Here is a 12,433-nt window from a genome sequence, read left to right on the forward strand (position 1 = left end):
GTTCCTGCCTCACGCTGGGGACCGCATCTTGATCACGGGGGCAGCCGACTCTAAGGTGCATGTGCACGACCTGACAGTAAAGGAGACCATCCACATGTTTGGAGACCACACAAACCGGGTGAAGCGCATCGCCACAGCGCCCATGTGGCCCAACACATTCTGGAGTGCTGCTGAGGATGGGCTTATCCGGTAAGAGTCTGGGGCATCTAGTGGAGCCTGTCGCTCCCCCATCCCATCATCCTATAGTGTTTCCTTCTACAGACCTAGCTCTTTCCCTCCAGCAGAGGTCCAACCTCCTTTGTCTGCCCAGGGCAGTTGTCTGTGTACAAACTCCACTGGGAACATTTGCTTACTCCGCCCTCACCTTCCTCCCTCTTTGCCCTCCTTTGTACTACCTCTAGGCCCACAAGCTTTTTCTCACCACCTCAGGTGTCCAGGGTCTCTACTGCCTCTGGGCATTCACGTTACTCTTTCCTCTACTTGAGATTCTCTGTCCCCAGCTCTTCCCATGTCGGACTCTTTCTTATCCTAAGGAGATCAGCTTCAGTTACCTCTTCAGAAGCACCTTCTCTGACCATCCTGTCTAAAGTAGACAGACGTTATGCTTGTTTTAACAATTATATCCTCTGTAACTCTAATTGCCACCTGTAGTTATTTTTATTAATTAATTAATTTTTATTTATTTATTTTTTTTTTTATTGATCATTCTTGGGTGTTTCTCGCAGAGGGGGATTTGGCAGGGTCATATGACAATAGTGGAGGGAAGGTCAGCAGATTAACAAGTGAACAAAGGTCTCTGGTTTTCCTAGGCAGAGGACCCTGCGGCCCTCTGCAGTGTTTGTGTCCCTGGGTACTTGAGATTAGGGAGTGGTGATGACTCTTAATGAGCATGCTGCCTTCAAGCATCTGTTTAACAAAGCACATCTTGCACCGCCCTTAATCCATTTAACCCTGAGTGGACACAGCACATGTTTCAGAGAGCACAGGGTTGGGGGTAAGGTCACAGATCAACAGGATCCCAAGGCAGAAGAATTTTTCTTAGTACAGAACAAAATGAAAAGTCTCCCATGTCTACTTCTTTCTACACAGACACGGCAACCATCCGATTTCTCAATCTTTTCCCCACCTTTCCCCCCTTTCTATTCCACAAAACCGCCATTGTCATCCTGGCCCGTTCTCAATGAGCTGTTGGGTACACCTCCCAGACGGGGTGGTGGCCAGGCAGAGGGGCTCCTCACTTCCCAGTAGGGGTGGCCGGGCAGAGGCACCCCTCACCTCCCGGACGGGGCGGCTGGCCGGGCGGGGGGCTGACCCCCCCCCCACCTCCCTCCCGGACGGGGCGGCTGGCTGGGCGGGGGGCTGACCCCCCCACCTCCCTCCCGGACGGGGCGGCTGGCCGGGCAGGGGGCTGACCCCCCCACCTCCCTCCTGGACGGGGCGGCTGGCTGGGCAGAGGGGCTCCTCACTTCCCAGTAGGGGCGGCCGGGCAGAGGCGCCCCTCACCTCCCGGACGGGGCGGCTGGCCGGGCAGAGGGGCTCCTCACTTCCCAGACGGGGTGGTTGCCGGGCGGAGAGGCTCCTCACTTCTCAGACGGGGCGGCTGCCGGGCAGAGGGGCTCCTCAGTTCTCAGACGGGGTGGTTGCCAGGCAGAGGGTCTCCTCACTTCTCAGACGGGGCGGCTGGGCAGAGACGCTCTTCACCTCCCAGACGGGGTCGCGGCCGGGCAGAGGCGCTCCTCACATCTCAGACGATGGGCGGCCGGGCAGAGACGCTCCTCACTTCCTAGATGGGATGGCGGCCGGGCAGAGACGCTCCTCACTTTCCAGACTGGGCAGCCAGGCAGAGGGGCTCCTCACATCCCAGACGATGGGCGGCCAGGCAGAGACGCTCCTCACTTCCCAGACGGGATGGCGGCCAGGCAGAGGCTGCAATCTCGGCACTTTGGGAGGCCAAGGCAGGCGGCTGGGAGGTGGAGGTTGTAGCAAGCCGAGATCACGCCACTGCACTCCAGCCTGGGCACCATTGAGCACTGAGTGAACGAGACTCCGTCTGCAATCCCGGCACCTCGGGAGGCCGAGGCTGGCGGATCACTCGCGGTTAGGAGCTGGAGACCGGCCCGGCCAACACAGCGAAACCCCGTCTCCACCAAAAAAATACGAAAACCAGTCAGGCGTGGCGGCACGCGCCTGCAATCGCAGGCACTCGGCAGGCTGAGGCAGGAGAATCAGGCAGGGAGATTGCAGTGAGCCGAGATGGCAGCAGTACAGTCCAGCTTCGGCTCGGCATCAGAGAGAGACCGTGGAAAGAGAGGGAGAGGGAGACCGTGGAAAGAGAGGGAGAGGGAGACCGTGGGGAGAGGGAGAGGGAGACCGTGGGGAGGGGGAGGGGGAGAGGGAGAGGGAGCTAATTAATTTATTTTCTGAGACAGGGTCTCACTCCATTCTATTGCCGAGGTTGGAGTGCAGTGGCGTGATCATGGCTCACTGCAGCCTTGACTTCCTGGGCTCAGGCGATTCTCCCACCTCAGCCTCCTGAATACCTGGGACTACAGACACGCTCCACCATGCTTGGCTAATTTTTCTATTTTTTTTGTAGAGATGGGGTTTCTCTGTGTTGCCCAGGCAGGTCTCAAACTCCTGGGCTCAAGTGATCCTCCCACCTCGGCCTCCCACAGTGCTATGATTGCTGGTGTGAGCTACCACACCTGGCCTTATTTTATTTTTACTTATTGGTTTACTTTTTTGTCTGTATCCTCACTAAATAGTAAAAGTAAACTCTCTTAGAGCAACTCCATGTCTGTCTTGTTCTTGGTTGTATCCCTAGAGCCCAGCACAGCGCCTGGCACATAGAGCCGCTTGATACATTTCTCTTGAACAGTTGGTCAGTGGCTATATACCTGGGAGGGGGCAAGCCACCCGGAAATGGTAAAATGGACTGTCCCCTTTTCCAGTGCCCTGCATTGTTACACATTTGCCTCTACTTCCCTTCATTCTAAAATGGTGTCGTTGCCCTTCTTTAACTCCTTTCTTCAGCTGTGACCTTAGAACTTCTTTCTTATCTCCCCAGCCTGCTTTAATCTGTCTCCCTTGAGTTCCTGTAGGACTTTGTGCCCTCTTTCCTTTTACAGATGAGGAATATCTAAGTCATATATAAATTATAACATAGTCAAGAGCAAGGCAGTGAAGTCAGACAGACCTGGGGTCAAATCCTAGCAATCGCACTCAGTATTTGACTGGGGTAAGTCACTGCATCCCTGAACCTCAGAAGACAGAATGCACTTTGTCAGTGGCAGGTCCAACTCTGTGTAGCACTTTTTGACCTTGGCTGACCAGATTTTGCCAGGGCCAGCTGGTAGAAGCGGAGCGTCTAGCGCATTGGGTAGGATCCTAAGTGTTTAGGCATAGGCACAGTCAGAGAAGGTGTCCTAGCAGAAGGTGAACATAAGCTGGGCCTTCCAGAACAGACAGGATTTGGATGAGCAAGGAAAAGCAGAGTGTATTCCCCAGCTTGAGCAGAGTTTGCAAAGGCAGAAATAAACATGGCATGTGCAGGATAAAGAATTCTGTAGTTATAATTGACCCACATTTAGAAAACTGAGGAATAAGGTTGGAGAGAAATGTGAAATTGAGTCTTGAAAACCAGACTGAGGAGTTTGGTAAAAGTAAACTTGTGCTAAAAGTATTGAGGAATCTCTGCAATTTTTTTGAGCAGGAGAGTGATGTAAAATAATATTTTAGGAAGAGCAGCCTGGTGAAGATGGCTTAGAAAGACAAGGTGAACAGCAAAGAGGTGATAACAGATGTCTAGGCAAGAGGGGAGAGCATATAGGTGATGTCCCCCCTACCCACCACTCTCTGAGGATACCTGTGTATTGGCAGCACAAAGTTTCCCCGTCTGGAGCGGTGGGAGTTTGCTGCTGTTTGGTAGACTTTTTGGCATTACCTTTACTGCGTGGATGAGACTTTTAGGCTTGCCTTGGCCCATGGTATATCTAGATAGCTCTTAGATGATCTGCAGAGTCTCTTTTCTGTCACCTCCATACCTTGTTTCATGAAAGAAACTAGATTAGGTAGGAACGGAGCAGTGTTTAAGATGCAGTCTCAGAAAGCTTCCCCAGCTCTGCACTTACTAGCAGTGTCATCTCAGTCAGGTTATTCAACATCTTTGAACTTCAGTATTCTAATGATACCTAGGGATGGCGTTAGGAATTAATTAAGGGGCAATACTGGACATAAAGCACATTTTCACTAAGTGTTGGTAATCAGTAGTAGTATAATAGTAGCAATAATACTAACATCTGTAGAATATGTACAATAGTATCCACCTTAGGAGTTCTAGTAGAATAGAATGTGTGAGAAGCCTACTACAGGTACCTGGCACACTGTGGACACTCAAGAAATGGGAGTTGTTTTTGACATTCTTATTTAGAAACAGGTCCAAAGTCCCTCCCAATCCTCTTGCATAACAAGAACTTATCTTTTCCCCTGCCTTCCTCTCAAGGACCCCAAGCCCCAATTCCCTAACTCTGTCCTCTCTCACAGCCAGTATGACCTTCGAGAGAACAGCAAACACTCGGAGGTGCTGATTGACCTGACAGAGTACTGTGGCCAGCTGGTGGAGGCCAAGTGCCTCACTGTCAACCCCCAGGACAACAACTGCCTGGCAGTTGGGGCCAGCGGGCCCTTCGTGAGGCTCTATGACATCCGCATGATCCATAACCACAGGTATGAATAGTTCAGCCTCCTGTCTCCTGTGAGTAAGTCCCCAGAGAACCTACTGCCCCTTTCCCTCACTGCCATTGCCATGCCCTCTTCTTCTATCACAGCTCACTGCAGCCTCAACCTCCCAGGCTCAAGCGATCCTCCCATCTCAGCCTCTCAAGTAGCTGAGACTACAGTCACACGCCACCTCGCTTGGCTAATTTTTTAATTTTTTTATAGGGGCGGGGTCTTTCCTTGTTGCCCAGGCTGGTCTCAAACTCGAGCTAAAGCAATCTTTCCACCTCGACCTCCCAAAGTGCTGGGACTACAAGCATGAGCCACTGTGCCTGGCCCCTTCTTTTATTTATTTATTTATTGTTTTACTTTTTTTTTTTTTTTTTTTTTTGAGACAGAGTCTTGCTCTGTCACCCGTGTTGGAGCGCAGTGGCACAATCTCAGCTCACTGCAACCTCTGCCTCCCGGGTTCAAGCTGTTGTCCTGCCGAGTAGCTGGGATTACAGGCACCTGCCACCACACCTGGCTAATTTTTGTATTATTAGTAGAGACGGGGTTTCACCATGTTGACCAGGCTAGTCTTGAACTCCTGACCTCAGGTGATCTGCCCGCCTCGGCCTCCCAAAGTGTTGGGATTACAGACGTCAGCCACCACACCCAGCCTGGCCCCTTCTTCTTTATGAAATGGACTTTCTTCAATTTTGTGATTTTTTAAAAAACTTAATCCTCGCTTATGTTGGAAAATATGAAAAGTATAAATTAGGCCGGGCGTGGTGGCTCACGCCTGTAATCCCAGCACTTTGGGAGGCCGAGGCAGGCGGATCACGAGGTCAGGAGATCGAGACCATCCTGGCTAACACGGTGAAACCCCGTCTCTACTAAAAATACAAAAAATTAGCCGGGCGTGGTGGCGGGTGCCTGTAGTCCCAGCTACTGGGGAGGCTGAGGCAGGAGAATGGCGTCAACCTGGGAGGCGGAGCTTGCAGTGAGCAGAGATCCTGCCACTGCACTCCAGCCTGGGTGGCAGAGTGAGACTCAGTCTCAATTAAAAAAAAAAAAAAAAAAGTATAAATTACCCATAATCTCTTACATAAATTCCTTATGATTTCCTTATATTTATTTATTCTTATAATTTCTTATATAAATCTCTTATAGTGTCTTTCTTAAAGAAATCACTGTATATAATATTTCCTGCTAGTTCTTATAACACTCAGAACCCCCACAGCACTCTCAGACCTGAGTTGCCTCTCCAGCCTGGGCTTTCCATGATTCTTGGGATGGATGCAGGAATGTCGCCTGTTTATTTTCATTCATGGGCTTGGTGACCACTGCTGCCCCTCACACACTGCATGGCTTGGAGCGGGTCTTGAACCTTAGCTTGCTTGTTTGTAAAATGGGAAAAATAAGATGGTCATGAAGACCCAGACAGCTTATAGGACCTACCTGGTAAAGCACTGTAATGTATATGTCTGTAATTGTCTAGTTGGTGGGCCTTTGGGGTTGCTTAGGTAAGGAGGAAAAATACCTCCTGTATGTCTCAGATACAAATGTAAGTTTTCGTCTAGTGAGTGTGGTCTGGTCTAGCCAGGGGCAGTGCTGTAACTTTAACCTATATGATTTTCCTTCCCACCAGAAAGAGCATGAAGCAGAGCCCTTCAGCGGGTGTGCACACCTTCTGTGACCGGCAGAAACCCCTTCCGGACGGTGCAGCCCAGTATTACGTAGCAGGTAGCGCTCAGCACAGCTCTGGCCCCAAACTCTCGGCTAGATGCTGACTCTTTTGGGGGCAGTCCAGGGAGACAGCATGGCATGGTGGTCAAGAGCAAGGGTTTTAGAGTCAGACAGACCTGAGTTTTAATCCCAACTCTGCCATTGACAAGCTATGTCACCTTCAGCAAATTACAGAAAAGAAACTCATCAAGGTTAAGTAAAATGGGGTTATAATGACTAAATGAGATAAAATATATAAAGCAACTAGCCCAGTGCATATAGTAAGGGCTCAACACTTGTAGCTGCTTTTATGCTAAAGTTGATTGGTATAATTTTTGATATGACTGACTTCACACAATCTCATGCCCCTTTGAAAGGGACTGGGACCCTAGTATGACTGGGCTATTCCCTGCAGGTCACCTGCCAGTGAAGCTTCCTGACTACAACAACCGTTTGAGAGTGCTGGTTGCCACCTATGTGACCTTCAGCCCCAATGGCACAGAGCTACTAGTCAACATGGGGGGGGAACAGGTATGTACAGCATAAGGTGGTTCTGCCCCATCACCATTCCATGCCCAGCAGCCAGGGGCATGTACCTTATGTTCACTGCTGAGGCAGACAAGACACAACAGCCTTATGGTAAATGATGTTACATTGAAATGTGGGGGTGATGTGGCATCATTGGAGTTCCCAGAGAGATGTCCTAGCTCAGTCTTTTTATTTCATTTTTTCTTAATGAACTAGATAGAAATATGATAGTATGGCATTTTGGTTAAGAATATAGGCTTTGGAATGGACAGACTTCTGTTCAAATGCTGGCCTGCTGTTCAGCAGCTGTTTACTGTGACTTTGAGCAAGTCTCTTTATTTTTCTGAGCCTCAGTTTCCTCGTCTGCTATTTTCCTAGGAGGAAATCCCTGGGGCTCAGAGCATGCAGCTCAGAGCAAGCTGTGGGTTAGTGCCAGCTTTGGGAAGTGTTCTTTGATAATGGCAGGTTGCTAAACCTTCTGTTTGTGTGCTCTCAGGATATTTAGTAAGCCTTGCATACATTTATTTACTCTACCAACACTGAGCACTTACTCTGGGACTCGCATTATTATAAATATAATAGAGACAAGTGGGAAATATGATCCATCCCCAGGCTGATGGGAGACATGACAAACGAAACAGTTAATGACATTACAAGGCAAGGCCCAAATATATACAAATGAAGCGGGATGCAGAATAGGTGAGGATAAGCCAGACATTCCTGGACCTGTCCAAGGAATCATGAAAAGCTCAGGAGTAGTGCTAGGGTAAACATTTGGCTTTGTGACCTTTGAGGACTTCTTCATCTTTTTAAACATGTGACGTGTTTTTTGTTTTTTTTTTTTGAGTTGGAGTTTCGCTCTTGTTGCCCAGGCTGGAGGGCAATGGTGCGATCTCGGCTCACTGCAACCTCCGCTCTGCCTCCTGGATTTAAGCAATTCTCCTGCCTCAGCCTTCCAAGTAGCTGGGATTACAGGCACATGCCACGCCTGGCTAATTTTGTATTTTTAGTAGAGATGGGGTTTCACGATGTTGGTCAGGCTAGTCTCGAACTCCTGACCTCAGGTGATCCGCCCACCTCACCCTCCCAAATGCTGGGATTACAGGCATTAACCACTGCACCTGACCTTCTATTTTGTTTGTTTGTTTGTTTGTTTTGAGGCAGGGTCTCATTCTGTCACCCAGGCTGGAGTGCAGTGGTACAATCTCAGGTCACTGCAGCCTCGACATCCCAGGCTCAAGTGATTCCCCCACCTCAGCCTCCTGAGTAGCTGGGACCACAGGCACACGCCACCACACCTGGCTAGTTTTTGTATTTCTTGTAAAGACGGGGTTTTGCCATGTTGCCCAAGCTGGTCTCAAACTCCTGGGCTCAAGCAACCACCCTCCTGCCTCAGCCTCCTAAAGTGCTAGGATTACAGGCTACGCCACCATGCCCAGCCAAATGTGATTCTAATTAATGATAGTATTTCAAGCAGGACTTTGGGTAGATCAGATAGCCCACCCTGAATGCTAGAGCTAGGAAGATTTTCCAGCCTGAGGTTTGCTGGAAGTACCTCTTAGGATAGCTTGATTGTTCTATGCTCAACACTCACTGTGTTCCAAGACTCTAGTTCTTGAGAAACCAAGACCTGCTTACTGGTTCAACCACATCCTTACCTCACAGCTTCCATCTCTTTTTTTGCCCCCCTCAACTCTAGGTCTATTTGTTTGACTTGACTTACAAGCAGCGGCCGTACACCTTCCTCTTGCCTAGAAAATGCCACTCCTCGGGGGGTAAGTTCTCCCTTAGGGTATCTCTACTGCGGCGGTGTAGGGGAGCTTAAGTGCATGCTACACCTGCTGAGAAGCCTGCCCTTTACTCTGGACCGTGATCCTCCAAAAATAGCAGATCTCTGAAATAACCCCACCTATGCAGTAAGAAAGAGGATGACAATAGAGCAGAGATCTCTTCAAGAGCTTTGCATCACTGCCCTTTTTGCTTCCCTCTGAAAAGACAGGTTCCTTCCATGGCTTGGCTCTTGAGAACCTGAAATAGTTCCCCTCTCCTTTGTATCCTGGCCCAGTCTTCTCATTGATTTCTTCCTGGGGCCTACAGTTGATTTAGGCACCTCCTCACTCCATTCCCACCCCCAGCCCCAGCCCTAGCCCCAGCCCCAACCCTAGCCCCAGCCCCAGCCCTAGCCCCAGCCCCAGCCCCAGCTGAGTAATGCCACGGTGAAGTTGTGTCCCTCGCCAGCCAGCAGAGGGCGCACGGGCTTTTCTTTATGTCAGAACTTGCTTTCTGGGAATGGATCTTACTCTGGGAGAACAGTCCCACGATGGAACCATCAGACCCCGTGATGGAAGCTAGAGGGCTGCCAGGAAGAAATGGGTCCTCTTCCTGAGTTGTTGCTGTCACTTTCTCACTATCTCCTGCCAGAAGTCCAGAATGGCAAGATGTCCACCAACGGTGTGTCCAACGGTGTGTCCAATGGCCTGCACCTTCATAGCAATGGCTTCCGGCTGCCGGAGAGTAGGGGACATGTCAGGTGAGGCCAGCTGGCTTGTCCAGCCCTCCAAGCCCCAGTTACACTATATGGACTGGAGGGAGGGACATAACCTGTAAATCTTCCTCCTGACCCACACCCACTCATGCATCCCAGAGAGTGAGGACCAAGGCAAAGAGCCTTCTTGGAGGGTGCCTAGTGTTTCCAGTGCCCCTCTGCCTGGCAGAACACTAGTCATGGTCAGACTGTAGCTCTAGCCTGTTGGTACCAGTAACTGGGGTCAGGACTCAGGAGCTAGCTGCCTCTTAGCACTGAGCTGTCTCCAAAAAGGGGCTGCATACAAATGGGCCTCCGCATTATATTATTCCCCATCCTATAGCATATCCTTGCCTCTTTTCTCTGCCAGCCTCTGTGCTGGGCTTTGGATACAGAGGCGCTCAAATTCCCTAGCCTTGAGAGAAATAGAGTTCTCTAGACAGCGATCCACAGGAGGGACTCGGGTGGTCATAAGGTTCAGCTCAGCATGGAGGCAGGTGGTATCAGCTACTACCATGCCCAGGAGTTGAAGTACAGCTTCATTTCTGCCCTTCTTTTCACTGGCTGAGAGTATTTGGAATGGTATTTGGAATGAAATTCCAAATGGTATTCCCTATCACAGTAATAGGTAATATCCCAGACCAGGGTAGTGGTCCCCTCTTCCAGATAGCAGTCAGATCCCAGGGGCCAAGAAAATCTGGGTGGCCCTCAGGCCATGTTACAGACTCCCTGAGGGGCTGCTCTGACCTTCTTTGACTGTTCTGACTTGGCTCTATTTCCCCTGCAGCCCCCAAGTAGAGCTACCACCATACCTGGAGCGTGTGAAACAGCAAGCCAATGAGGCTTTTGCCTGCCAGCAGTGGACCCAAGCCATTCAGCTTTACAGCAAGGCTGTGCAGAGGGCCCCTCACAATGCCATGCTTTATGGAAACCGAGCAGCAGCCTACATGAAGCGCAAGTGGTGAGTGGCCACTGCAGAGGGGATCTGGGTCAGGATGAGGGAGAAAGCAGCTGGACCAAAAGGCAGGGGCCTGATGGAGCCAAGTTGCCAAGGCATCCAGGGAAAGTGGCAAGAACATATTGCTGCCTCTTAGGGCTTCTTGGCCTCTCCTCCCCACCTCCAGGCTAATGGTGGGCAGGCACCTGACCCATTAATCAGGAAGTCTCAAGCACTAAGGAAGCTCACAGTTACGTGGAACATGTTCAAAACTAGTTTCTACATGGCATATTATTATAAAGTGCTGTGGCCCCTGGGGAAGTATGAGTTGAGGACTGTTAGTCCCAACTGTTGGAGAATTGGACTTTGAAGAGCAGTGGAATCTTGCTAAGTGGAAATGAGGGGTTTGGTGAATTCAGTTGGTATGTGTCTAAAATATTCTGCAGTCCCTTGCCCCTCTAAGGCTTGCTTTCTGTGTTCTTAGACCCTTTGGACTGAGTACAAACCATATCCCAGAGATCCAAAGCTGGCTATGGGTCACGCTAGGGTATGGTGGCTGGTAATAAAGAAGTAGACCATATCTGAAAGAACTCCTCATCTTTGGAGACCATCAGGGCCCCCAGCCCTACTGCCTGCAGCACCAGCAGGCAAGCAGACATGCAGACCCCGCCCCCCCATCCCCCAGCCAGGGCCAGGACTAGAGATGGATAGAGCTGGGCCCACAGCCATTTCTGCTCCGTCTGGCATCCGTCGGCTCTGCCCAGACAGACAGGCCAGCTGGTGTGCCATCGTCTGGCTGCAACTCGGCAGGCCAGAGAGGGAAACTTAAGAAACCCACCCAAGTCAGCAGGATGGTAATGCTAGGTGGGGGTGGGGAAGATGCTGTCCCCCGGCCTTAGCTAAGGCATCAGGAGTTGGCCAAGGGCTCAGGTGGTAGCCAAACCCAGGAGATGACTGTTTTGGATGAATCGTGAGTTGATTCACCTCTCTGTCCAACAAACAGTTGGGTAGAACTCAGTGGTCCTCATCCAGGCTGTAGGCTAAGAGCTCAGCTTCACTCCTGCATTCTTGCTAAGAGAGGTTGGTGATTTCCTAATCCATATGTGCCCTCAGCATGTTCTCTGAGCTCCTACTATGTGCTAGGTACTAGGAACACAAAGTTCTATCACTCTGAGTTCCTGTGCTCCAGAGGAGCCTCTCCAGACAGTGGGTAAAGTGGTGGACATAGTTCAGCATTAAAGAGATAGGAAGCAGTGAGTCTTGTGAATGGTCAGGTAAAGGGCTGTGGGCATCAAGAAAAGTTGGGTCGCTTTAGCTGGGGAGCAGGGAAGCATCAGAAAGACATGGCGTCTGAATGGGCTTTAAGTGTAGGCAGGCTTAGACAGGAGATGAAGGAGAGGAGGGGCCTGTGGGGGAAGGACATTCCAGGGAGATGAAATGGTGTGAACAAAGGCATGGGGGTGGGGGACTGACTGAAGAGCTTGTTTGCAGAACAGCAAATCCATTTGGCTGGAGCAGAGGGTTCGGAAAGGGACTGGCAGGAGATGAGTCTGTGAGGTAGCCTGGGGCCGGCCTAGGGAGAGCTTGGAATGCAGAGCGGTGACGTTGGCCTCGATTCAGTGCATGATGGGCAGCTACTGGAGAGTTCTGAGCAGGAGAGGGATGTGCCGAGGGCTGTCCTTTCAGGGAGATTGATCTGGCAGTGAGTCTAGGAAGGGTGAGCCCTGGGGCCAGCCTGCTCTCTACCCCCATCCCCACATGCCTGCCAGTGACCCCTAGAATGTCACATTCTGTCCTGGGCCAGTCTCCCCAGGGCTGCCATCTGCTCCTGGATGCAGTGGGAGCTGTCACCCTCTGGCTCCTGGCTGGTCTCTGGTCTGGCTCTCCCCAGGAGCTCAGAGGGGCACCTTGCAGGCAGTAATTGGGTTTCCAAACAGTGCCTGCTCCTTCGTCAGAGCCACTCATCCTGACGCAGGCCACGCCATTGAAGCAGCTCTGTTTCCTGCCTGCCCCCACAT

General features: G+C 50.9%; 1 protein-coding gene across 10 annotated transcripts in view, besides 2 other annotated features; it reads left to right on the forward strand.

Moving 5' to 3' along the window:
• WDTC1 (WD and tetratricopeptide repeats 1) overlaps window positions 1-12,433 on the forward strand; it is a 74,196-nt gene that overhangs the window by 53,232 nt on the left and 8,531 nt on the right. For 8 of the 10 annotated variants that reach the window (XM_047449749.1, NM_001410767.1, NM_001276252.2 and 5 more), the window contains 7 exons: window positions 2-189; window positions 4,543-4,725; window positions 6,350-6,444; window positions 6,842-6,957; window positions 8,654-8,729; window positions 9,376-9,484; window positions 10,266-10,439. In XM_047449749.1, the coding sequence (XP_047305705.1) occupies window positions 2-189; window positions 4,543-4,725; window positions 6,350-6,444; window positions 6,842-6,957; window positions 8,654-8,729; window positions 9,376-9,484; window positions 10,266-10,439 (941 nt within the window). The remainder of the gene's footprint in view (window position 1; window positions 190-4,542; window positions 4,726-6,349; window positions 6,445-6,841; window positions 6,958-8,653; window positions 8,730-9,375; window positions 9,485-10,265; window positions 10,440-12,433) is intronic. The other 2 variants (XM_047449760.1, NM_015023.5) reach the window with 1 other exon arrangement.
• Window positions 1,568-2,553: an enhancer, noted in NCBI's record as "H3K27ac-H3K4me1 hESC enhancer chr1:27615731-27616716 (GRCh37/hg19 assembly coordinates)". NCBI's record gives its function as "activates a minimal SCP1, AML or CMV promoter by ChIP-STARR-seq in naive H9 embryonic stem cells {active_cell/tissue: H9 hESC(naive)}" and the evidence as "EXISTENCE:reporter gene assay evidence [ECO:0000049][PMID:30033119]".
• Window positions 11,650-12,163: an enhancer, noted in NCBI's record as "H3K27ac-H3K4me1 hESC enhancer chr1:27625813-27626326 (GRCh37/hg19 assembly coordinates)". NCBI's record gives its function as "activates a minimal SCP1, AML or CMV promoter by ChIP-STARR-seq in naive H9 embryonic stem cells {active_cell/tissue: H9 hESC(naive)}" and the evidence as "EXISTENCE:reporter gene assay evidence [ECO:0000049][PMID:30033119]".

The sequence above is a fragment of the Homo sapiens genome, chromosome 1, assembly GCF_000001405.40.
Source record: "Homo sapiens chromosome 1, GRCh38.p14 Primary Assembly".
Classification (NCBI taxonomy): Eukaryota; Metazoa; Chordata; class Mammalia; order Primates; family Hominidae; genus Homo; species Homo sapiens.